This window comes from Homo sapiens, chromosome 14, assembly GCF_000001405.40.
Source record: "Homo sapiens chromosome 14, GRCh38.p14 Primary Assembly".
NCBI classification, from domain to species: Eukaryota; Metazoa; Chordata; class Mammalia; order Primates; family Hominidae; genus Homo; species Homo sapiens.
This window is the reverse complement of record NC_000014.9, coordinates 38,719,081-38,743,280: the sequence shown is the minus strand read 5'-3', so window position 1 is coordinate 38,743,280 and position 24,200 is coordinate 38,719,081. Positions and strand designations below refer to the sequence as shown.

The following is a 24,200-nucleotide window of genomic DNA, read 5'->3' as shown; positions in this document are numbered from 1 at the left end:
TCAAAACTCTAGATATATGCTAATACTCCTGCTTAATGAATTTACTTGACTCTCTCTCGTATTATTCCATTTATATGAAATGTCCAGAATATGCAAATTCATAGAGACAGAAAGCAGATTCCTGGTTGCCAGGGTGCTGGGATGTGGGGGAATGAAGAGTGACTGCCTGTCTACTCAATGGGTATGAGGTTCCTTTTAGGGGAGATGAAAATGCTCTAAAATTAGATAATGGCAATGGTTATACAACATCGTGAATGCACTAAAAGCTACTGAACTGTAGTATTTAAAATGGCTAAAATAGTGAATTTTATGTGATATCAATTTTTCTTCAATAAAACATGAGACGTCTCTCTGGTTAGAAAGTCACCTACATTACTGTTTTACATATCAATGTTTCATATTTATATTTTTATTTTTAATTCTTTTTATCCCTTTTTTATTTATTTTTAATCTGATTTTTATCCGCAAAGCAACAAATAAATGTCACTATTATTTTTAAATTTAATGTATGTGTTTATAACAAAAACATAATTGTACATATTTTGGGGTACAACGTGATGTTTCAATGCATGTATACGTAGTATAATAATCAAATCAGAATGATTATTATACCCATCACTATAAACATTTATCATTTCTTTGAGATGACAACATTCAAAATCTTCTCACTACCTTGAAATATACACTGCATTATTTGCTATAGTCACCCTACTGTGTAATAGAACACCAAAACTTATTTCTCCTGTCTAACTGTAACTTTGTACCAATTGACCAACCTCTCCTGGTATTCCTTCCTGCTTTTCCTCCTCAACCACTGGTAACCATTATTCTCTCTCTCTCTATGAAATCAACTTTTTTAGATTCCACATGTGAGATCACATGATGTTTGTCTTTCTGTGTCTGGCTTATTTCACTAACACAATTACCTCCAGGTTCATTCATGATGCCACGGATGACAGGATTTCATTCTATTTTATGGTTGAATATTATTTCTTTTTAGAGTTCAGGAAATCGAGGTAAAAAAGGCCAACTTTCCAAGATCACATAAATAGTAAACCTTGCATTTGATCCTATGTAGTCTAACTCCACAGACCACACGCGTAACCACTATTCAACACTTCCCTCCAAGATGACAATTTTGGTGGCTGGAATTATGTATGTGAAAAGGCAATTAGACCTTTGAATAATCTTTCAGTTGTCTATAGACAGAAAATTCCTCTCATACATGTGAACTTTTGCTTTAAAAATGCTATTGCATTATAACACCATGATCACCCAAATTATCATTAGACATTATATGCCTTACTACGCATGCAAATAGGAGTCTACTAACGATTGAAGAAATTCTATTAGGGATTTACAAAAGTAGAACCAATCCAGTTTGGTGCATGAAGGGTTACAACAGCTTCTTTCTAATGTATCTTTAAAAATGTGATTTTGGAATTAAGCAGCTACCAGTTACTGTTACATTTATGCATGACCCTTGACTACTAATAGTATGAGCCAACTGTATTCTATTAGTGATCTTAGCAGCAAAGCAAGGATGTATAATTGATTATTGGTGTTGATTTATATGTCTAATAAGCAGCTGGAAGTAAAGCATCTCTGTTCAGTTTCCAAAAATGATAGAAATGGCCTGTTTTTATCATTGCTAAGAAACAGTGGGAGAGAAGAGATTCACCCTTCCCTCCCAGAGCCAGTGAATCAGTGCTAGGAAATGATGTCAAATATCATCAAAGGCCCGAAGTATTTAAGCAAGGAGGAGAAAATGGTGTCTCAGAAGGAGAATGTTTTTCTCAAAAGGTCCCAGTACCTTTGTTTTGATACTGAGACTGTTTTGTTCTCTGTTTCAATATTTTTGTTTAACATTCAGTAATTCAAGCAAACATTTATTGAGCCTTAATTAGACTCCTACAGTGAAACCACTGAGCTAGGCTTGGTGGGAACAACAAAGGGTAATAAAGACATAGCTACTCTTGAGAAATTTATGTCGGATTGGCAGGCGAGATGTACATACAACATGGAACTCCCAGGATTCTTTGATTCATGATAGAATTTAACCAAGGTCTGCACTCTAATGCAGATGATAAGTGCTAAGAGACTCTATAAACAGTTTTTCTTTTGCCATAATCATATAACATAGTTTCTCTCTTGTTTTTCCCCACGTTACACAAAATACCTCCCCTCAGCACATCCTTTTCCAAACACAAATACTCCTTTTGAAATGAGTTTTTGGAATTTCTTCTTAATAGCATGGACATGGGTGGTGTTTGGGTCCACTTTTACTAGCTTTTGGAACTTCACTGAGTTATTTAACTTCATTAAATCTCAGCTTTCTTATTTGTAAAATGAAGAAAATAATATTAGTTACCTCATACCGTTTTTATATTGATTAGAAGATATAGTGTAAAGCACTTAGCACATTGCCTAATATGTGATACTTAGTGATAGCTTTTATTATTACTACATTAAATAAATTGCTAAAAATTAAAAAATAGATTACTTCTAACTCCCAAACTCAGCATCTGATATCATTTTTGTGTGTTCCAGTCCTTGATCATATATGGAAATTACTAATTTCTCCATTAACTCAAAACTTTGATCTTGCCAATGGCAAGGTTTTATCTAATGTACTTCCTCAGCCCTGTGTGCACAGTGGGAATTTAATAATTATTTGTTGACAAAATAAGTCTTCTTGTGACTCTGTCTTCAGTTACTCATAGCTCTCTCCTGACTTTCTCAGATAAACTTCCTGAGGGGTTGCTTGCACCTTTGAACTCCCAGACAGTTCATAAACTACTGAGATTGGCCTTTGGCACCCATCACTCTCCAAAGCAGCACTTATTTAAGTCATTGTCCCTTCCTTGCCCCTAATTCTGAAGGACAATTCCATTCCAATCCTTACTTTCTTATTGACCTTGGAGGCACTTGGAGTGCTGTCAACTCCTCCCCCTCCTCCTGGAAATACATTCTTTGGGTTTTCCTGTCATGTCTCTATCCTCTAGTTTTACCTTCTCCACTTTTACAGCCAAAGTGACTGTTATGAGTTAAATTCGTTCCTCCAAAATTTGTATGTTGAAGTTCTAAGTCCCAGTAACTCAGAATGTGACTGATTACAGATAAGGTGTTTTTTTTTTAATAAGATAATTTTGAGGTAATTTGGCTAGAACAAAGTCATTAGGGTGAACCCTAATCCCCTGTGACTGGTGTCTAATAAGAAGAGGAGATTAGGACACAGACACAGGGAGAAGATGACTATCCCCAGTGAAGGAGAGAGGTGCTGCTTTTCTTGGTACTCATGGCTCCTGTCTGAAACACTCTTGCCCTCCCTCCTCCCCTTGGCTCCCCCACATCTCCTCTTGGCTAACTCTGTGGATCCTTCAGGTCTCAGTTTGGAGGTGCTTGGAGGACTCTCCTGAGCTCTGCTGTGTTCTCCTAATTCCCTGTATTTACTTCTATCTGGCGCTTACTGCACGGCTATAATTGCCTGGCTAATTATTTGTATTTCCTTCCTGGGCCATAAACTCCTTGAAGGCAGGGAAAACATTCCCTTCACTTACATCCCTAGAGACGGACAAGGTACCTGATGTACAGTAGGGTCTCAAGATTTGTTGGATGAATCAATGAGATTTTATTGCTTAGCAGAAGAAAAAATTATTTTCCTAATGGTGGTTGTGGTTTAATAACACAAAGACTTGGTTAAGAATACAAATATTAAAGTTACTTTAATTCTGTAGATCTGCCTGATTTTGAAAATTGTCCATTACAGAAGGAATTTATTCTTGGTGCATAAATGTGCCACTTCATCTACTTCTCTTGAAGATAAAATTCTTAGCCTCTGACCCTTTTGTTCTGTGAAGTACCCACTGCTGCAAGAAAAATTCAAAACAGATAGCATATACATGTGGAAGATAATTTTATTATCTTTAATTATATTTTATACCTCTGTTTTTCACCTATGTAAAACCCAATTAGAAAAGAATCAGATATAAATGTGTTATTTTGGAAGCAATCAACTCACCTTCTGAAGCTACATAAATAAGAAAGCATTAGAGAAATGGGTCCAAAAAGAGTTTGGTTTTCATGTGGTAAACTTGTTATTCTTAGTATCTTGAGGAACCGGCAAACAACACTGCTGACTTAGAACATGTTTTTTTTTTTTTTTTGCTGGTGAAAAGAGAGTGGGTGACTTTGTGCTTAAGACAACTCTAGAAGTGTCCTTTTGTGGATGCCAGTTCTGCAAAACTATTTGGGACTCTGGATATGTAACTCTTTCGAAACCTGGGGATTAGAAGTTTGGCACTGCATACCTTTCAGAGGAGAAGAAGGCTCTGCTTTCGGTATAACTGCACGGCTCTAAAGAATGGCAATGAGCAAAGAATGAGAAATAATTTAATCCACTATTGATTAACATGTTTGTTGTTAAAAGCTAATTTTCTGTAACAGCAGAGATGCAGCCCAGGGTTTCTGGAGACTTTTAAAAATACCTCCAGGCACAGTCAATGTTTAAATTTTCTAAAGCATCCCACACACTGAAGATATTTGTAAGCATCCAACTAAAGACAATCAAAATTAGAACTTAGCAAAAATGTACAGATCACTGGTATATATTAAATTTTAATTAGAAAAATAGAGACTCCTACAAGTAAATTTCATTGTATTAGAGGTTGTCTCACATTTTTTGAAGTAATAATACAATCAGGGAAAACAAATCTTTTCAGTTTGAAATTAACAACAAAAGCCAAAGAACCAACCTCTAAAAGCTCTTTAAAAAACTCTAATTAAAAAAAAATTCATCTCTTTGGCCATGCTCGACTGATGGTACCTATAAAAACTGAGGCACTCTTTGGTGTATGCGCGTTCTCAGAGCAGAATTAGATCAAGGCTCGATGCGAAAGCACGCTGTAGTTACTATTATCAAATGCGGAATCTCATTTTAGCTACTATAAAAGGCCCCTGGTATTAAAACACTGCGTTTATAGATGATGGATGAAAAATGTATTTTTCAAACCATGGCCTTTGTGGTAGAACATGACTTGCTTACTATGGAAATATCTCCAGCTGCCTAGAAATGTTGCCTAGCAACCCTGGAAACAGAGAAAACCTAATATCTCTGAGTTGCTTGTGGGTAAAGGGATTATTAAAAATATCAATTAGAAAAAAAGGACTGCAAAGTTTGTTATTGGGCATGACAACAACTGCTACTTCCGAGTTTGACAGCGTCTCTGTGCCCTCTTTCTCATGGAATTTCAGATGTTTCTTATGTGTTTCCCATGAATTCCCTAGTTTCTAAGTCTCAACAGTGCAGCAAAGAGGGTGACTTGTAGAGGTCATGTCTGTGCTGTCAGGACTCAGCCCTGTTCCCCCAGCCCTCTGCTGGAAGCCGTTCTTTGCCTTGGTGAGCAGCAGTCAGCCAGCCACGTCGGCTTTGATAGCTGTCAGCTTCCTTCAGACCCAGCAATTTCCGGGTGACTGGGAATGATTTTTAGTTGCTGCTGTCCTGACTGTTCTGTTCATTGGCCAAGGCTGGGGGGCAGCTTGCTCTGGAAGAGCACCCTGAAGACACCCGCCTTCTGATCAGATGCCCTGGCTCTGCCCATAGGCTCCCCTGAAGGGCTGGCACAAAGCTTGGAAAGCTTCTTACGTCTACACCAGGCAGACCTGCGTTCTGTGTTGTAAGCAAAGTAAGATGGCAGACTAGGTTCAGGCCCGACTCTCTTCAAAGTCCCTGCTATTCTTTTTCTCACAGGATTAAAAAATTTTTTAGTTGGGCAAATGCATTCTGTGTCTTAGTCAGTTTGGGCTGCTGTACCAAATACCATAAATTGGATGGCTCATAAACCATAGAAATTTCTCACAGTTTTGGAGGCTGGGAATTTCAAGATCAAGGTGGTGGCAGATTCGGTGTTTGTCTTCTGGTCCATAGAGGGTCACTTTCCTCTAAAACCTCCTTATGGTGGCAGGGGTGAATGAGTTCCTTTGGCCTCGTTTATATAGGCACTAATCCTCCTCCTGAGGGCAGAGCCTCCCAAAGGCCTCAGCTTCTAGTACCTCCTGATACTATCACCCTGTGGGTTAGGATTTCAACATGAATTTTTGGGGAAAACAAACATTCAGAATATAGCAATGGGTTCTTGATTCATGTGACAGAAAGCGAATCATTCTGAATTAACTTGAATAAATGAGTGGTATTCAAGCTGAAACTGATAATAGCTTTAAGTGTGAACATAGTTTCCTGGTCAATCTTGAAAAGCCAATCTCCACCAGAATTGTAACTACTCTTAAGAACTTTAATAGCAGTAGTAACCAGCTCGTGCTTCAAATTTCTACAGTGTTACAGTCTATAGAATATTTGGACATTTGCATTCTCATTTGATCTAACTGCTTGCTGGCAAGGGTTACTGTTAGCTCCATTTTATAGCAGTAGAAGTTGATGTCCAAAGAGGTAAGATGACCTGTGACAGCAAAGGTAGAGAGATTCCAAACTTCTGAAGCTTGGGCCAAGTCAACGTCTTTTCTGTGGTTTCAACCCCAGTCAGTACATGATCTTTTTGATGGATGCAGAACCAACTGAGATATTTTCTCCACTAGCCCATTAGCAGGTGCTGCTAATGGTTCCAATCCAGGGCTTTGATCTTGAACTTCTCAGCCTCCAATAGGGGTAGTGTTAGCTCCATTTTCTAGAAGTAGAAGCTGATATTCAAAGAGGTAAGATGACTTTTTCAACATCATTAGTAAATATGTCAGTTCTTGAACTAGGGTCTTCTGATTTCCAGGCCAATATGATTGTTAGTAAGCAATTAAGATGAGGTTCACCTATCATAGAAAGTAGAGACTTGAGCAGTGTAAAGATCCACAAATTTGAGGCATGGACCTCCTTTGTATGGTAAAGCTAGATACAATCTACTTGACTTGCCCCAGTGACCCCATACATTTCATGGAATGTGCATGTGCAGGTATGCCATAGTGACCACCTCTCAGTCATAGCATAACTCCTGGGAACTGAAGCCTGCTTGCTCTAAACCCACCAATTAGAACTCCTTGAGGAGCATCTGTTTGGGCAATTCCCTGAACCATATGAAAGACAGAGGTACCATAAGTCCCTCTCTTTCTCTCTTGCTCCCTACCCAACTGATTGAGTGTGCATGTCCTGAAAGCTCCCGTTTCCCATTGGCCCTACAAGATGTGCTGCCCTCTTCCATCTGGGATTTGTAAATAAGAAACTGCTTCTGTTATTTTGTTTGCTGTGCTGCCTCCTCTTTGTCTCATCTGATCAATACACCTGAACCTAACTTCTTTCCTGGAGAAAAGTTAGGCTCTGTCCTAGAGAGTGGCTATCCACAGGTCAGACAAGAGTCCCACAGGGGTGTCTGCCAGAATAAAGATTTTCCTGTGCAAGAGACACCTGGTCATGGGTTGAACATTTGGGCATTAGGCTATCCATGAGAATAAAGAAGTACCCTGTGAAAGCACACTGTAAATATCCATGACCATCTACCCTGGAGCCCTGTGAGTGCAGCATTGGAATTTGTACCACTTTCCAGAGAGAGACCTCAAGACCAAATTAGAGGAAAATATAACAATTGTATACTGGAAATTTGTTGAGAGAGTAGATTTTTAAATGCGTTCACGCACACACATACAGGGGCAATTATGTGAGGTGATGGATATGTTAATTTGCTTCACTGTGGTAACCATTTTACTATATATAAGTATGTCAAAACATCATGTTGTATACCTGAAATATATGGTAAAATAAAGACATGTTTAAAAGAAATGATAGAAATTCACTGTGAGAATGAAAACTACAGGCCAATCTCTCATGAGCATTTGTGCTAGTTATTTACTCATCTTTCTCAGCTTCACATCTGCCCAATTATGCTATATTTTATGCTACTGAGGCTTGAAGTCTGCAAACTACATTTCCCAGCTTCCATTGCCAGCTGGCTTACTTTTCAATTATGCTAATGGGAATCTAAAGTTCCTGTTTGAAGATCAGAAGTGAACCGAGAGAAGTTTCCTGCTTTTGACACTAATAATGTGGCGGTTGTTGTTTGTTGCTATGACAACAAAGGTAGAGACGTTCTGAAGTCCCGACGCTTGGACCAAGTCAACATCTTTTCTGTGGTTCCAACCCTAGTCACCACAGGAACTTTTTGATGAATGCAGAACCAACTGAGATAGTTTCTCCAGCAGCACAGTAGCAGGTGCTGCTAAAGGGCTCAATGCAGGGGCTTTAGCAGCTTCTAATCTTTAGGTGTCAGTCTTTCTTCCTCCTTTCTCCTACAGCACCCCTCCTTCTTTTTCTTCTTTAGCCCTTCCAAAATATGTGCAACCAATTTCCTATATTAAAATCCCCTTATTACAAAAATGTTGTGATTCAGATAGTTGTATGATCTGATTTGTCCAAAGTCACACAGCAAGGAAGTTTCAGAACCAGATTTGAAACCAGGCAAGAGTGACTATCATGCAGGGCTCAAAAAAATTATTGTGTTTATTTAGAGTATACAACATGATAATAGGGGATACTATATATAGTAAAATGGTTACCATAGTGAAACAAATTAAGATATCCATCATCTCACAAAGTTACCCTTTTTATACACCTGTTAGGATGGCTATTACTAAAAAGTCAAAAGATAAATGTTGTTGAGGCTGTGGAGAAAAGGGAACAGGGGAACAGTTGTACGTTGTTGATGGGAATGTAGCTTGGTGCAACCATTATAGAAAACAGTATGGAGATTTCTAAAGAAATTAAAAACAAAAGTACCATATGACCCAGCAATCACCCTCTGGCCATATACTTGACAGGAATAAGATCACCACCCTGTAAAGATATATGCTCTCACATGTTCTTGTAGGGCTCTCGCCTCAGTAGTTCGCTGCCTCCAGGACATGGCTGTGAGGGGACACATGTGGCTGACCGTTTGGAATAGAGTCCCTCATTTTAAGGGTTTAGATGAGCTCAATTTTTTTTAGTAATTAGGGTGGATTATGTATTAATTTACTTGGATTCAACTATATAACATCAAGACCTGGACCATATTACATTTCTTCTCTTGTTCAATACTTCTCTTACCTAAAGTGGGTCCCTTCCTCCCCCCCATATCTATATGTATATCTATATACCTATATCTAGCTATATTTCTCCACTGATATGCAAGACCTTGACATAGAGCCATACATAGAGGATAAAGAGATTATATTTTATCCCTTTCTAGTCACCTGTGCTAGGAGCCTTCTGTTAGCCTGCTCATCAGCTTTGGCTCACTCAGTCATGGACTCATTATAGTCTCAGGAAACGCTCAGCCCAAATAACTTTTACTAGATCGTCATAGCCCAGGATTTATAACACTGTGGTCAAAGGACGCTGGCATTATTATCATCTGAAGATCTTTTTATCTTTCAGACTTCTGAGTATACGCCTCAACCTAGTGAGCCCTAACCTTATGGAACATGAAACCCTGCAATCTGCTTTCTTATCAAACTGCCCAGGGAACTCCAGAGCAAACTGAAGTTTGAGAATCACGGAGGGGCATCTCATACCTTTTCAAAAAATTAATTGCATGCATGTGCAGGTGTCCTCCCTTCTCCATTTCAAATCTTCCCTCTTTTCTACTCCATGGTACCTGGAGGAGAAACCTTAAAGACGTTTCTCACTTTTTCTCCATTTATCTCTTGCTTTTTGCTACTACCAGTGCTTGCTGCTTTCCTCCTTCTCATGGGAAGAACCACAGTTGTGCAGGGAAGAGCTATTTGCTCCTTGAATGTTTGAAAAGTTTACATGGCACTTATGTATCTTTCAACTTGGTAATTGTCCAATATGGTCACCGAAGAGGCACTGTGCATACTTTACGCGCTGCTGAATTTCAATTCCATAGACATCATCAGTCATTCCTCCTTCTGGGCTGAATGTATGTCTGTCAGTGAGAGTCACCAGACCCTGAATGGGAACATTCACTGAAGAAGGTGTTCCTGTCGGCGTTGGTAGAATGAGAGAATGAGTACAGGCCTGCAGCACTTTGAGCCTCCATCAAACGGGCCTCTCAATCTCTACCCACTCATTTCATTTTTTTTTTGCCTTATTTTACACCCCAACTGCCATAGGCACTACCCTTACCCATTCATGAATCAATGCTTTCTTGCAAGCTTCCTCTAACTCTTCTGACATCCATGGTAACTGGGCCACAGCTAGCACAGTGCCACAAAGAGGTCAGCTCATGCGAGCCCTTGGGAGGGCTTGACTTTATCCTTAAAATCTTTGTGTGTGGCTGTTTACATAGAAACTGACAGAGGTCGAGAGAAAGAAGTAGGCAAATTATGGTGTGCAGGGCCTTGCTCCTCTGCCACCATTTGAGTTCAATCACTTTATACTTTATCTCTGATTTCACTTAAAATCCTCACATGCCTTATAGGGTTGAGATGGCTGTTCACAAATACCTGGCATAAGCCTTTTTCCCTCTGCTCAACCACACAAACAGCATTTCCTGGAGTGCGCTTTTGCGGTTCCTCTAGAGTCTCCTGGTGGATGGAGGTGGAGTGAGGAATGGTACTGAGGTTAACTTCGGTCAAATTGCATATTCTCTTCCTCTTGGAATATCCCAGTAAAGAGTCATTTAGGATAAAAATATGGTTAATTTAGCCCAATTCAAAATTATTCCATCACAAAACACTAACATAGGGTTTATGGAACATAATCCTGTAGAATTCCCTGGGGGATTTTGTCATGTAACTGCAGACTATCCCTAATCTTTGCTTGTATTCTTTCCTCCTTGGATACACCACTGGGCCTTGGTACCTCTATTAGAGCAAAGATAGAAAAAAAAGATTAATTGGGCTTTGCTTAGAAAGGACTAACAAGCTTTTTCAATTGCCTTCTAAAATGAGTATTCTTTCCTTACCTCACCCTGATATTGTAGGTTATTTCTTATCTTGTATGAACTACTTTTCCTAACCATCACTTCTCCTGTGTTCTAAAACATTCTCTCTACTCCAACCACCTGCTGCTTCGTGTGCTATTTGCTTTCTCACTTCTGTGACCTTCTTTATTCATTTTCCCATGCTTAGACTGCCCCCTCTTCCCCTCTGTCTCTTTCATGAAACCTTTCTTGGCTGACATCTCCCCTTCTCTCTGCTCAATTAACCAAAGAATTCATTCAACATATGCCAATTATGTGAAGGACTGGGTTGGGCTCTCAAGATACAGTAATACTGAAGGCAGACCTGGGCTCTGTTACTATGGAAATGGGATTCTCTAGCTTCTGAACCCCACCTCACTTTACTTGCATTACCCTTAGAGTAAGTGCTTTTACTCATTACCTCTTTTTATAATTTTATTTTTGAAACATTTTCAAATGTACAGAAAAGTTAAATGTATAAATGTCTCAAATATATCCTTACCCCAGAGACTCCATTTTAGTCTCCTTTATAACAATGGGGTATGATCTAGGACAGAACCTTACACCCAGCTGTAATGTGGCTCAAACTGCAAACCTGAAGCAATTCTTTAGTCTTTTTACTTTCCATGACCTTGAAGAGTTATGAAGATTAAAGGCCAATTTGGGTCTGTTTGATGTTTCCTTATGTTAAGACCCAGAATTTTTGGCCAGAATTTCACAGAAGTGATGCTGTGTTCTTACTTCATCCTCTCTGATGGCAGTTGTTTGTCTACTTGTCTCATTGCTGGAGAAGTTAACACTGATCCCCTAGTTAAGATGATGTCTGACATTTTTTTTTCTGCTGCAAACCTATCTATCTTTTCCTTTGTAATAATGGGTATTTTGTGGAAAGTCACTTGGAGACTGTGTAAAATCTACTCATCCCAATTTTATCTACCAGTTTTAGCCTCCATTGATGTTTCTTGCCTGAGTTAATTGTTAGCATAACAGTTTGCCAAATGCCATTATTAGTTGCCATTCAGTAGTATGTAAAGATGTATGTATGTGTATATGTACATATGTATTGATATAAGTGTGTACTTAGAGACTTACATCGATGAGTTATAATCCATTACAATGATTATTTATTTTGATGTTCAAGTTGTCCCAGATTTGACCAGTGACAGCTTCCTAAACCTGATGTACCAAGATGTGCACAAGCACGTCTTCTTTCCTTGCCCCAACCACCCTGGAGTTGGCCATTTGTCTAAGATGTCCTGTTTTTGTCTTTTAAGATGGAGAAGTGGCATTCAAAAGTCGAGATCTGTGTGCTTGGTGTGCTTTATTGCTATTGAGATGTTGCTGCCCCTAGGTCCTCTCAGTGGTCAGAGCAAGGAAATCTATGCAAGTATATACATACCTGCATACACACCTACATAATATATACATATCTGCACACATATATGTATCATACACATGTGTATATACACATTTTCATCTCTCTATATCTCTGTATCTATCTTTCTAGGTATACACTGAAAATCATGAGTTCATCCAGATAAACTTTAATTCCAATCTAATGCTGCAGGGGTTGTTTCTCCTTCCCCCTTCTCATATTTGTACCTCATGTTCTCTGACAGTGAAAAGCCTGGTTATCATTATTCGTGATATTTTTACTTATTTACTCAATTCTCCAGTAAGTAATCTCCTGACCTTGCTGGGGTGCTGCCCTGCTCTCACCCCTTCCTTGTGTGGTCCCGCCCTACTCTCACCCCTTCCTTGTGTGATCCTGGCTGTTCACACTGGGATGACTTCCTGCCAGGGATAGGGAAGGGAAGGCAGCCCCATCACCTGTGTGTGTGATGTGTGTGTGTGTGTAAAAACATAAGACTTAAAAAATCATAATTTGACAAGTTATAAAATGCCTCTCCCACCTCTTTTTTTAATGCTTCTCTATGTATTGAAAAATAAACTCGTTACTTTCCTTTAAAATAAACCAAATGAACCAGTAAAGATGATGATTTTATTTGAGCAAACCTATTTTATCAACTTTCGAGTTTACCTTCTTGGCTTAACACCAAAGGACTTACAGTCATTTACACACATTTTGTTCCTACCCCAGGACTCCAAGCTCCTTGAGGACAGAGGCTGGCTTCTGTTTGTTCTTGAGTCAATGGGACACCTTGCACCAGTGTCTGAAGTGGAATGTGTGTCCAATTTGTTATATTGATTATATTCCTCCTATCAGAACTGACCAGCTGTTTTGCAGAATTGATTGAACTTACTCATTATTCCAACATTTCATGCAAGTAGCTTCAACCCACAGAAATATCTCACCTGCAATGTATTAAGAAGCTTGTGGGAAAAGTGGAGGTCACAAGTTTATTCACTAGAAAATCTTTTACAAACTGAATAATATCCTTAAAAAGGAAATAGGAAGAAAAAATGGTACGAACAAAACAAAGGAGGCATTATGGAGATGCTTGTTTTATAAAATTAATGGAGATGTTGACTTTTCCTAACACATGAAATACTGTGCAGCAAATAGATTCTGTTTGAAATGGAAATAGTCAATTGATTGGTAAGGGAGATACGTACAAAATGTTTACATTGAAAGTCATAAAATGCAACAATAGACAATTGTAAAAAGTGTTGTAAGCTTAGTGATAGACTTGTTTTAGGTATGGCTTGAGAATATACGTTTCACATTGTTGGGATTCTGTCTGGTGTGTAGCGGTCTTCACTGGGCTTTGAGTACATGTTTATATTACATGCAAGTTACAAGGGCTTCAAGGCCCTGCTACAGGATTTCCCCTCTCCCAGTAGATCTCATGACTTTGTCTGTAAATCAGTCATTCTCATTGCCATATGCCCTCTTCTTAACATGAATTCAGAACGAATCTTCCTTGAAGTCTTTCTCCATTACCACTGGCTATTTTTGCCCCTCTGCTGGTCTAATAAAATAGTTTTTGGACCAATTTAATTTATAATCTATTTCAGATAGATTAAAAAAAGATGACTGACATCTGTCACATCAGTCAAGGTTAAAAATGCAATTTCTGGTTCATTAAACCTAACAGAAAAGGTCAATCTTTAATAATTGTATAATCTAATAAGCTATGTTCTCAGAAGACTTCTGGTAGACTTGCTTGTGCCAAAATGTGCACATTTGAGAACATATGACCTCATTATGCTTTTAAAATACACACACACATACACACATACACGCACACACAAATCAATTTGAGATTTACTTTAAGAGATCCACTTAGAAATAATAATTTTGGTCTAATTAAGGCATGAATTAATTTTCTTCTTTTTACTGGCATTAGCCAGAGTGCCTAGAATTGAAGATGGAGGCCAATCTGGGCTGTAGGTTTATAAAAGATGTATTTATTTCATGGTTTTGATGATTATGAGAGTAAGCAACACATTCCAAATCCTGCTTACAGGAATAGGCTTTCACAGAAAATTATATGGATAAAGTGTCTCTCCAAAATATAGCACTGCTTCGCATTCTTTCCTAATTGAGCTTTCTCTGATTACTAAGGCAAGTCACATCTTATAATAAACAGTGGGGGCCATTATCCATAGAAGGGGAGAAGTAAGGCTGTTTGTCCTCAGTTATTTATTTATTTTTTGGGCAGAGCTAGCTGAGGTTTTATTTTGAACACACACACACACACACACACACACACACACACACACACACACACACACAGAGCAATTGAATTGTTTTGTAGCTGGAGGCATGGGCAAGGGGTGTCCCCAGGCAGTAAACTCCCCCGTGAGTGGGCTGAGGGCTAGGGCTGAGCCTCAGGTGGGTCTCCTGTTCTCTGTGCTCCCCTGCACAGCGGCCTCCCTCTTAGGCTCTGGGGCAGCCGCAGGAAGGGTATGCTGGGAGGGGCTGCTGCAGCTGTTCACTTGGGCAGGATGTCAGACAACTCGGACACCAGCTTCTCATTGCGGGTCTTGATCTTCTTCACAACCACGACCCTGGTGGAGCTGGTGCAGCTGAAGGAGCTACAGCCCGCGACAGAACCAAAACTGGAGCCCAGGCCGTAGCTGAGGCCGGGAGTTGTGAGGTCCCCCTAGGCCGAGCTCAGCCCACCTGCATAGCCGCTGGTGGTCTTCATGTGGATACTCATGTTCTGCATCCCAAACTCCAGCCGGTTCTCCTCGCCCTCTAGCAGGTTTCTGTAGGTGGCAATCTCGATGTCCAGAGCCAGCTTGATGTGCATCAGCTCCTGGTACTCACGCAGCTGACGCTCCAAGTCCTGCTTGGCTTGCTATAGGGTACCCTCCAGCTCGGACAGCTTGGTGTTGGCATCTTTAACGGCCAGCTCCCCAGCTGCTCGGCAACTGTGATGGCGGTCTCCAGGGAAGCCCTCTGGCCTTTGAGGCCCTCAATCTCAGCCTAGAGCCGGCTGATGTTCTGGTTCATCTGGGAGATCTGCTTTTGTGTGCCGCAGTTCATCCCCGTGCTTCCCAGCCAGCTTCTGCAGCTTCTCATACTTGATCTGGTACATGCCCTCAGCCTCAGTCCTGCTGCGCTTGGCTAGCTCCTCGTACTAAGCCTTGACCTCAGCGATGGCTGTCCATGTCCGGGGAACAGCTGTTGTCCATGGACAGCACCACAGACGTGTCCCAGACCTGGGACTGCAGCTCCCAGATCTCTTCATACAGCTGCCTGAGGAAGTTGATCTCATCAGTCAGACCTTCCAGGCGAGACTCCAGCTCTAACTTGTTCAGGTAAGCTTCATCCACATCCTTCTTATAAGGACAAATTCATTCTCCACCTCTGTACGCTTATTGATCTCATCCTCGTACTTGTTCTTGAAGTCTTCTACCAGCCCCTGCATGTTGCCAAGCTCTGCCTCCAGCTTCAGCTTCTCCTGGCCCAGAGTCTCCAGCTACCGCCTAAGGTTTTTGATATAGCTCTGGAACATTTTGTCCACGTTGCTCCAAGCCATCTTCTGCTGCTGCAGGAGGCTCCAGTTGGACTCCAGCATCTTGTTCTGCTGCTCCAGGAACCGTACCTTGTCGATGAAGGAGGCAAACTTGTTGTTGAGTATCTTGTTCCGCTCCTTCTCCTGGGTGCACGTGGCCTGAATGTTGGGGTCCACTTCAGGTTAAGGGGGCTCAGTAGGCTCTGGTTGACTGTGAAGGCGGTGATGCTTCCTATGCTGCTGGCCCCACCATAGCCTCCACCCAGGCCACCCTGGAAGCTGCTGCTGCCGCCCACTTGGGAGAAGCTTGAGGAGCTGATGAGGGCACTGGGCCCACTCGTGTAGAAGTGGCTGCTGAAGGCCCCTGGGAGAGAGGTGACACCTGGTAGGACTTCTGGGTCACCCTGATGGACATGGTGGAGGCAGGAGTGGAGGCAGGTGGGCTGAACCAGGCAGAGATTCCAGAAGGGGTGGAGAAGCTGCTTCTTGGTCCAGTTATTTCTTTTAGTGGTCCTAACTTCCCTCCTGGTTCCTAACATGCTGGGATACACAGCCTGGGCTGGTGAGCATTTAAAGTTCCTTATCTGGATTAGGGTGCTAAAAATATGTGTCTACTCCAGTGTCCAGTGATTATACATTAGAAATATGGTGAACAGCAATATTAATTTAGTTGGGAAAAGCATGTTCCTTCAGAGTAAAAAAAAAAAAATGCAGATTGGGAATCTTGGCTCAGCTACTTCCTAGGCGAGTTTGTGTTGATTGATTGATTGATTGATTGATTGAATCTGCCTACTAGGGAATAGGCAAGTTTTTTTTACTTCTTTGAGTCACAGGTTCTTGTCAATCAATTGAGGGCAATACTACCATGTAGAATAGTTGTGATCACATGAGATAATGTCTACAAAGTGCTTCACATGGTGTCTGATATGGAGTAAGCATTCAGAAATGATAGAAATTATTATAATTACATAATACATTTGTGGAAGAGGAAGAATTCCAAATTTTATTATCTACACATATCCCATTCTCCAAATGAGACTGCAGAATTTCTAAGTCAAAGGACAATACAGATTATTACAGTGGAAAAAAAGAAGCTCATATACCAAAATACAGGATGTTAGCTGGGCACAGTGGTATGCACCATAGTCCTAGCTACTTGGGAGGCTGAGGCAGGAGGATCACTTGAGCCCAGGAGTTGGAGACTAGGGTGTTATGACTGCATCTGTGTATAGCCACTGCCCTCCAGCCTGGGCAACATAGGAAGACCCATCTCTAAAATCATACATACATACATATGTACATAAAAAGGAAAAAAAACCCTAAGAAGTTAATGGTATCAATTAATCTTCTTAAGAGAGGACCAGAAATGTAGAAGGATGCAGGCTAATAGGTGGTTTTAGGATATTTACTGCCTGTCTCTCCCACTTACTCTAGATGGCCAGTAGAGCTGCTCTTCCCTTTCAATTTTAGTATCCCTCTTCTGGGCCTTCCTCGAATCTTCCATAGGGGATTCTTTTGGATTATCATTTTATGGTTTAATTGACCTTCATTATTAGGAAACAAAACAATTCTGAACAGAGGCCATCGGTGTGCTATGCAGAGCATCATGTTTTCACAATCAATTTACTCATTTGCTTTAAAATTCTTCGTAGTTTGAGTTCTGAGATATCTAACAGGATGAAGTTTGTTAGAGAATGAAATGAACAGAATGACATTTTATAACAGAAGTGGCATTTCATAACAGAATGAAAACAACCAAAATGATCTTTTCAACAAGCTTCCTCTAATTGCCTTTAGAGAATGTGCCTTCCTCTGCTTACTTGAATAACTAAATAAAGGACAAAACATTTGTAATTTTAATATTAAGAATATACTCAGAGTTGGTAATTTTGTCAAACTGACACCTGATAATTTCAAAAAATGGTCAGAGCATATCCTTACGGTTTAAAACTTTTTTTAAAAAGTCTGTTGAATAGAAATCTTAAACACAGTAAATGATAATGTTAAAAACAAATAAGCTATTGGAAAAGGCTATGAATCAATGTAATCTACCTAAGGTCATATCTGTTAGTAGGCCTGCTGGGGGCTCAGGAGGTATTTAGAATGCACCCAATTGGTCTCAGAAGGCCAGATGTCTCCTATGTCCTGTGAGTCTCCAAGTTCTCCTTTAAACCACACATCTAGCTACTCAGAATGGGGTGTGCTTTGCAGACATCACACAAAGGTGTAATTGGCCAAAAAGTACATTGTTGTCCCTCTCCCTCGTCATTCCATTGTCCTTGTATTACCTTCTCTTCTTTAAGGAAAAAATACACATAATTGTGGTCAATACTGTACTCATTCACATAGTAGAAGTATATAGTACTCAGACAGAGAATATATGATATATGTCCTGGAGTTGTAAAGGGAGGAGGAAAATCAGAGAAATGTGGTGTCCTGGAATCCAAGAGGAGAAAGCATTTTGAGAAGACAGTAGTCAATAATGTCGACTAGAACAGACAGGCCTTGGAAACTAAGGGTTAAGAAAAAGCTACTGGATTTGGTGAGGTCATCGGTCAGCCTTGACAGATTTCAGAAGAAAAGTAGTTTGGGAAGCCTGATTTTTATTTTATTTTATTTTATTTTATTTTATTTTATTTTATTTTATTTTATTTTATTTTATTTCATTTATTTATATTTATGAATGTGGTGTGGGAGGGGCTGGTTATGACAGGAATTTTAAGGTGTGTGTGTGTGTGAGAGCATGAAAACACTGTATTTAGAATATCCTTTAAAGAACTTTGTGAAAGGAAGGCTACCTTGAGGGTGGTGGCTGGAGAGAGACGTGGTAGCATCAGTGAAACACAGCTTTTCAGCCGGTAACACCTGAGTACCTTTGAAGACATGGAAGCTCAAACCTGTGGAAGAAGAAGCTGAGGAGACAGGAATGGGCAGATACAAGAACTAGATCCTCTAGGAGTAAGGAGTGACTCTTACTTTATATTTTTACTTTCTAAACATTCACAATATCAGCATTTATTAGAATGGTGATATAGTCTTTGAAAAATGGTAGCAGGTATGCAAAGGACTCTTACCTAGAACTTGCTGACTAAAAATGAATGCTGATGGTACTGAGCAGGACCTAGTCTACAAAGTTTGCCTGTCAGGAACACATTTTAAACAGAAGCTAAGCTATTATTCCTAGTAATAGGAAGAGCTTGTTAAAGTTTCAGGTTAGATTAGTTCTCTGAGGGTGGAGCCTGTTATGGATAGTCTACGTCAACCTGTCATGTTCTGCTGCCCAAACGTGGTAAATTCTCGCATTGGAATGTAGAACTGAAAAACGGTGCCATAAATAACAATTCCAGGCTGTCAGCATGGAGTGATCACTGCTCCCACCCTCCCGGTTCTACTCTTATTCTAAAGGCCAAAAAAGTTCTGAGAGTATTTATGTTCTATTCAGATTAACTAATTGAGATTTTGGCCTTTTTCTCTAGTTGCCTGTTCCTTTACTCAAAATTAATTTGTTACAAGGCACAGTGAGTTAATTAGTATGATTAGCTCCGTTATCTTCATGCTTGCATTTTTAAGGACTTTAAAGTCAAGGTACTGTTTCACAGATGATTATTTGCAGACAGTTAATTCTTGAGTTATTGTCTTGGGATGGCCGTTATCATATTAGCATGCCTTTTACATTTCTTGATTTTTAAAGAAACATCTCATTTTTATATTCCATTTTAGAACTTTCATTGTCAGTAAATATTACCAATGAGCTTCCGTTCTGTCAACAACATTTTCGTGTCACGTATTTTCAAAATATGAGATTTCAAATTCCAAAATGATTTGTTTCTATAAGTTTAGGGAAGTGGTGGTAGTAAGCATTTCATTAATAAAGTTGTTATAATGAGTACTCAATGTGTATTCAAAGTGTACCTGTTGATAATTTGAAGCAGAACAAAAGAGGGGGAAAAGAAAAAGAATGTACCACTAGGTGCCACTCTGATCTTAAAGCTTGAACCAATGAATGACAATTGCAACAATGACAGTGGTGGTGACATCAATAGACACTTTATGATAAAATGGAGGTAGTTTTTGTGACTATAATATTCTAAATTTAGGACATGAAATTTTAAGCTTGATGAGGATTTTGTCTGAAAATGACTTTTTTCAGATGCTTTGCAAATACTTTGTATTAGTTGATATTACTAAATCATTTATGAAATTAGCAAATGTGGAAGTATTGCTGACTTTTATAAAGGAGAAAGGTGTGGTTTGATGATCCTAGGATAGAGAGTCATCAATTTAGCATTGATATCAACTTTCACTATCATAGTAATAAAGCTATTGAACTATTCTTCTCTGGCTTGGTTATCCAGAAGAGATATCTCTTTCTCAGGAGTGTCATAAAAGACACTTGGTTAAAGTGTGAATAGTGTTCTGATTACAGTAATTGTTAAATATTATTATGTAAAGCGAGGTAATGATAGTAAAAATAAATGAAATGCATGAATGAAGCAGTTACCTGGTGATCAAACTACAAATAAAACATCAGTCCTATGTGGTGATTAAAAATTCTCTCTTCATAGAATATTTCCAAATAAAGAAGTCAAAGACAGTTTTCCTGAATTGTTGATATTTGACTTTCAATACAGTTACTGGTTCACAAAAAACCACTTAATTACCAGACTAATCTAATTGACCTAGGATAGCAGTGAGAGAGCTGTAAGGGGCTCTCTCTTCTTCACCTAGAAGACTTTACTGAACAAAGTCTAGGAGATCCTTGAAATTGTTAGCAAAGCATAAAGATATATACATATGTGTAGGTTCAGCAATATACATGTATCTCATTGGAACTTCAAAGACACTCATCAAAAAAGGGTTATATCCACTCTTCTAGGGTATTTGATAGTGGCAATGGCTAACATCACATCCAAGGGCTTGGTTGAAGGTAAAAATCAGTGCGAACGAACATCAAAAGCAACTTTCAGTGGGAAAAGTAACAAAGTGTCAACCTGAGGTCTCAACAGGAACTTTGGTTGTCATATGTAAAGCAATAAAGGCATTCCTTAGGACAACCTATACACATATGAGGGCCAAGAATTTTTTGTTTGTTTAGGTTTTTAAGCTCTGTTTTAAAAATCACATCTTCCCTCAAGTGCTGCAAACATAAAATCATTCCTGTCCTTTTACTCTCAAAATTGTGGTCCCTTTCTCTCTACCTTTCCCGAAACCAAAGGCCTGTGTGTGACCTTTGAACGAACTCACCCAACCTAGCAAAGTCATGATGCATTATTCCATGATGGGTGGGCCAGTGGGAGGGCTACCATTACAGAATACTTTCTCTTGGACTAGAAAGGTTTCCTAGGAGAATGAAGACAGAAGTTAAGTATATTGAAGAACTGGCAGAATTCATGCACTCAGTTAAAATGAAGAGACACTGCCTCCTGGAGGCCTGTATTGGGATAGCCGTGGTACAGTGTGAGGAAATGAGTAGTTTACACTCCCAGCCTAGATGGAATCAAAGCTTATTCCAGCCATGGCTGAGAGTGTGTCTGGAGACATAGCTAACAGAGAATTTATATTTTCTGACTGACAGTGAAAAATGAATGTTTTCACACCGTGGTAACTAAAATTTGGGGCAGTCATCTTTATTCACATTTGAATAAAACACCGATTCATGACAGGCTTCAGGTTGCTTAGTCAATCAGTTACGCGGCCAAAACTGCTGCGTCTGAGTCTCTTCCTCTCTGCTGGGCAGTTCCTTTTGGTTGTTTTTATTAGGTCTCAGTGTTACCTCTCGTGTGTTTTTCTTCTGTTATGTGCTCCAACAGGACAGAATTATTAGATCTGTACTGTCTTTGTAACCTAATTATTTTCCTGTCTCACATACTGCATTGATATATCCAGGTTTCCAAACATATGTATAGTTACAATTACACTGTGAATTTAAACTACTTAAGTCATATTATTTTAATCTACCAAAGATTTGAAATATTAATAACAACAGCACATGAAGATTATATTTTGGATTCTAATTTAAGAGAGTATACCTGTGATGGTTAATACTGAGTGTCAACTTGATTGAATTGAAGGATTCAATCATGGATTAAATTATTGATCCTGGGTGTGTCTGTGAGGGTGTTGCCAAAGGAGATTAACATTTGAGTCAGTGGGCCGAGAAAGGCAGACCCACCCTTAATCTGGGTGGGCACAATCTAATTAGCTGCCAGCACAGCTAGAATATAAGCAGGCAGAAAAATCTGAAAAGAGAGACTGGCCTAGCCTCCCAGCCTACATCTTTCTCCCAGGCTGGGTGCTTCCTGTCCTCAAACATCGAACTCCAAGTTCTTCAGTTTGGGAACTCAGACTGGCTCTTTTTGCTCCTCAGCCCACAGACGGCCTATTGTGAGACCTTGTGATCATGTGAATTAATACTTAATAAACTCCCCTTTATATATATGTCTATTCCATTAATTTTGTCCCTGTAGAGAACCCTAATATAGTACCCACTTAGACTATTAAATAATTAGTCATCTTAAGGAAAAGAAAATAGCAACACATACTTAAATTGCATTGTACTGTTCTAAGCACTTCACATATATTTATTGATTTTTATCACCATAACAGACCTTATGAAAGAGATACTATGCAATAATATAATTTATATATAATCTGATCTTATTCTAAAAAAAGAGAAGCAAATACCTAGACATGTATTTGGAAATAGTACCTTTAGTTTGGGCTGCTGTGTTTCTTATCTGGAGTCTTGACTTAAGGCCCCTGGATTTGCAACTGTCAGCTAACAGCTGACAACTCTCACCTGGTATGTCAGTCAGATCCAGAAAATAACAATAATTTGCAAATAGCTCTTTAAAAACTCAGGCTTTTAGGACACAAAATTCCTCACCTGGAATGGCATTTGTCTGATGAGTAAGGAGAGATGACTTGAGAAGCTTAATGAGAAAAAATGTGTTGAGTCCAAAAGTAAATATAATAAGTTCTCAAAGAAAAATCAACCTTGTAGTAAATGGTCTTAGAAATGTCTAATGTGCATCACAGGATAACCTGTTTAAAAAATGTGACATATGCAATGGATTCCCAAAAGGTTTGTATGCACATATGGAGAGAGAATGGCCATATGGGATGAAGAGGGAGGGGATGTAGGTAGTGAAGGCTCGGACTCAGGAGGCTAACAGTGTCAGAGAACTACTTGTATAGCACTTGTAGGCTAATTGTTGGGTGGGAGAGGCAGAGAATGCAAGGAACTCAACACAGTATTTGGTATAGTAACAGGCCCTGTATGCTCGAGCTACAGTGTTGATCATTACATTCAATTAGTCAGAATCTTTTTAAGTAAGGTATCTACTTTACCATTTTTTAAAGATGTGAAGAAATCAGAGCATGAACTGAGACAGAAACACAATATTTATTCATCAATTCATTTGTTCAACCTACTTTTTGCCACACATTTTGTTTGGCATTGAAGATACAACAATAAACCCTTATGAGGCTTATATATGGAGTTCATGGAGTTGCCATGAACTGAGATTAAAAAACTGTAGGAGGAGGTTTGGTTTGGAGTGAGGAGAAGAGTAGACCTCAGTTTTGAAGATGCTTAGTTTGAGGTTTTTTGTTTTTTTTTTTTGAGTTGGAGTCTCACTCTGCTGCCCAGGCTGGAATGCAGTGGCACGATCTCGGCTCACTGCAACCTCCGCCTCCTGGGTTCAAGTGATTCTCCTGCCTCAGCCTCCAAAATAGCTGGGACTATAGGCATACGCCACCATGCCCAGATAACTTTTGTATTTTTTAGTTAGAGACAAGGTTTTACCATATTGGCCAGGCTGGTCTTGAACTCCTGACCTCAGGTGATCCACCTGCCTCAATCTGCCAAAGTGTTAGGATTACAGGCATGAGCCACAGTACCCGGCCAGTTTGAGGTTTTAGATATCTAAGTGAAGATGCTGAGCAGAGAGTTAGGTAATGAAAAAAAGAGTTTAGTGAGAAGCCTAGGCAGGAGATACACATTTGGGAGTTTTGGTAATCACTAGTGTCATTCACCAAATATTTCCATTTCACCTTCTAATATGGTTTTATGTTAGAATTGTATTTTTCTACTCATCATGGCCCTGTGACTTGCTCTGTCCAACTAAAATCAAGTGGAAATAATACATGTTACTTCTGGATGGAAGCTTTAGTAATTAATGCACAATGTCACATTCTTATCTCTGTCACAGCAGCTGGCAGTACTCTTTATGGTAGCTGCTCTACGAGCTGTGTCCCAGAGAAAGGACAACATGGGATACAATACCTAGGCAAACCACAACTGAAAGGCAACATGAGTGAGAAACCTTTCTTAAGCTACTGGGACTGGGGTGTGGTTGTTTTTAACCCAGGA

At 39.6% G+C, this 24,200-nt stretch overlaps 1 pseudogene; it reads right to left on the bottom strand.

Moving 5' to 3' along the window:
• Window positions 14,520-16,317, bottom strand: KRT8P1 (keratin 8 pseudogene 1; annotated as a pseudogene).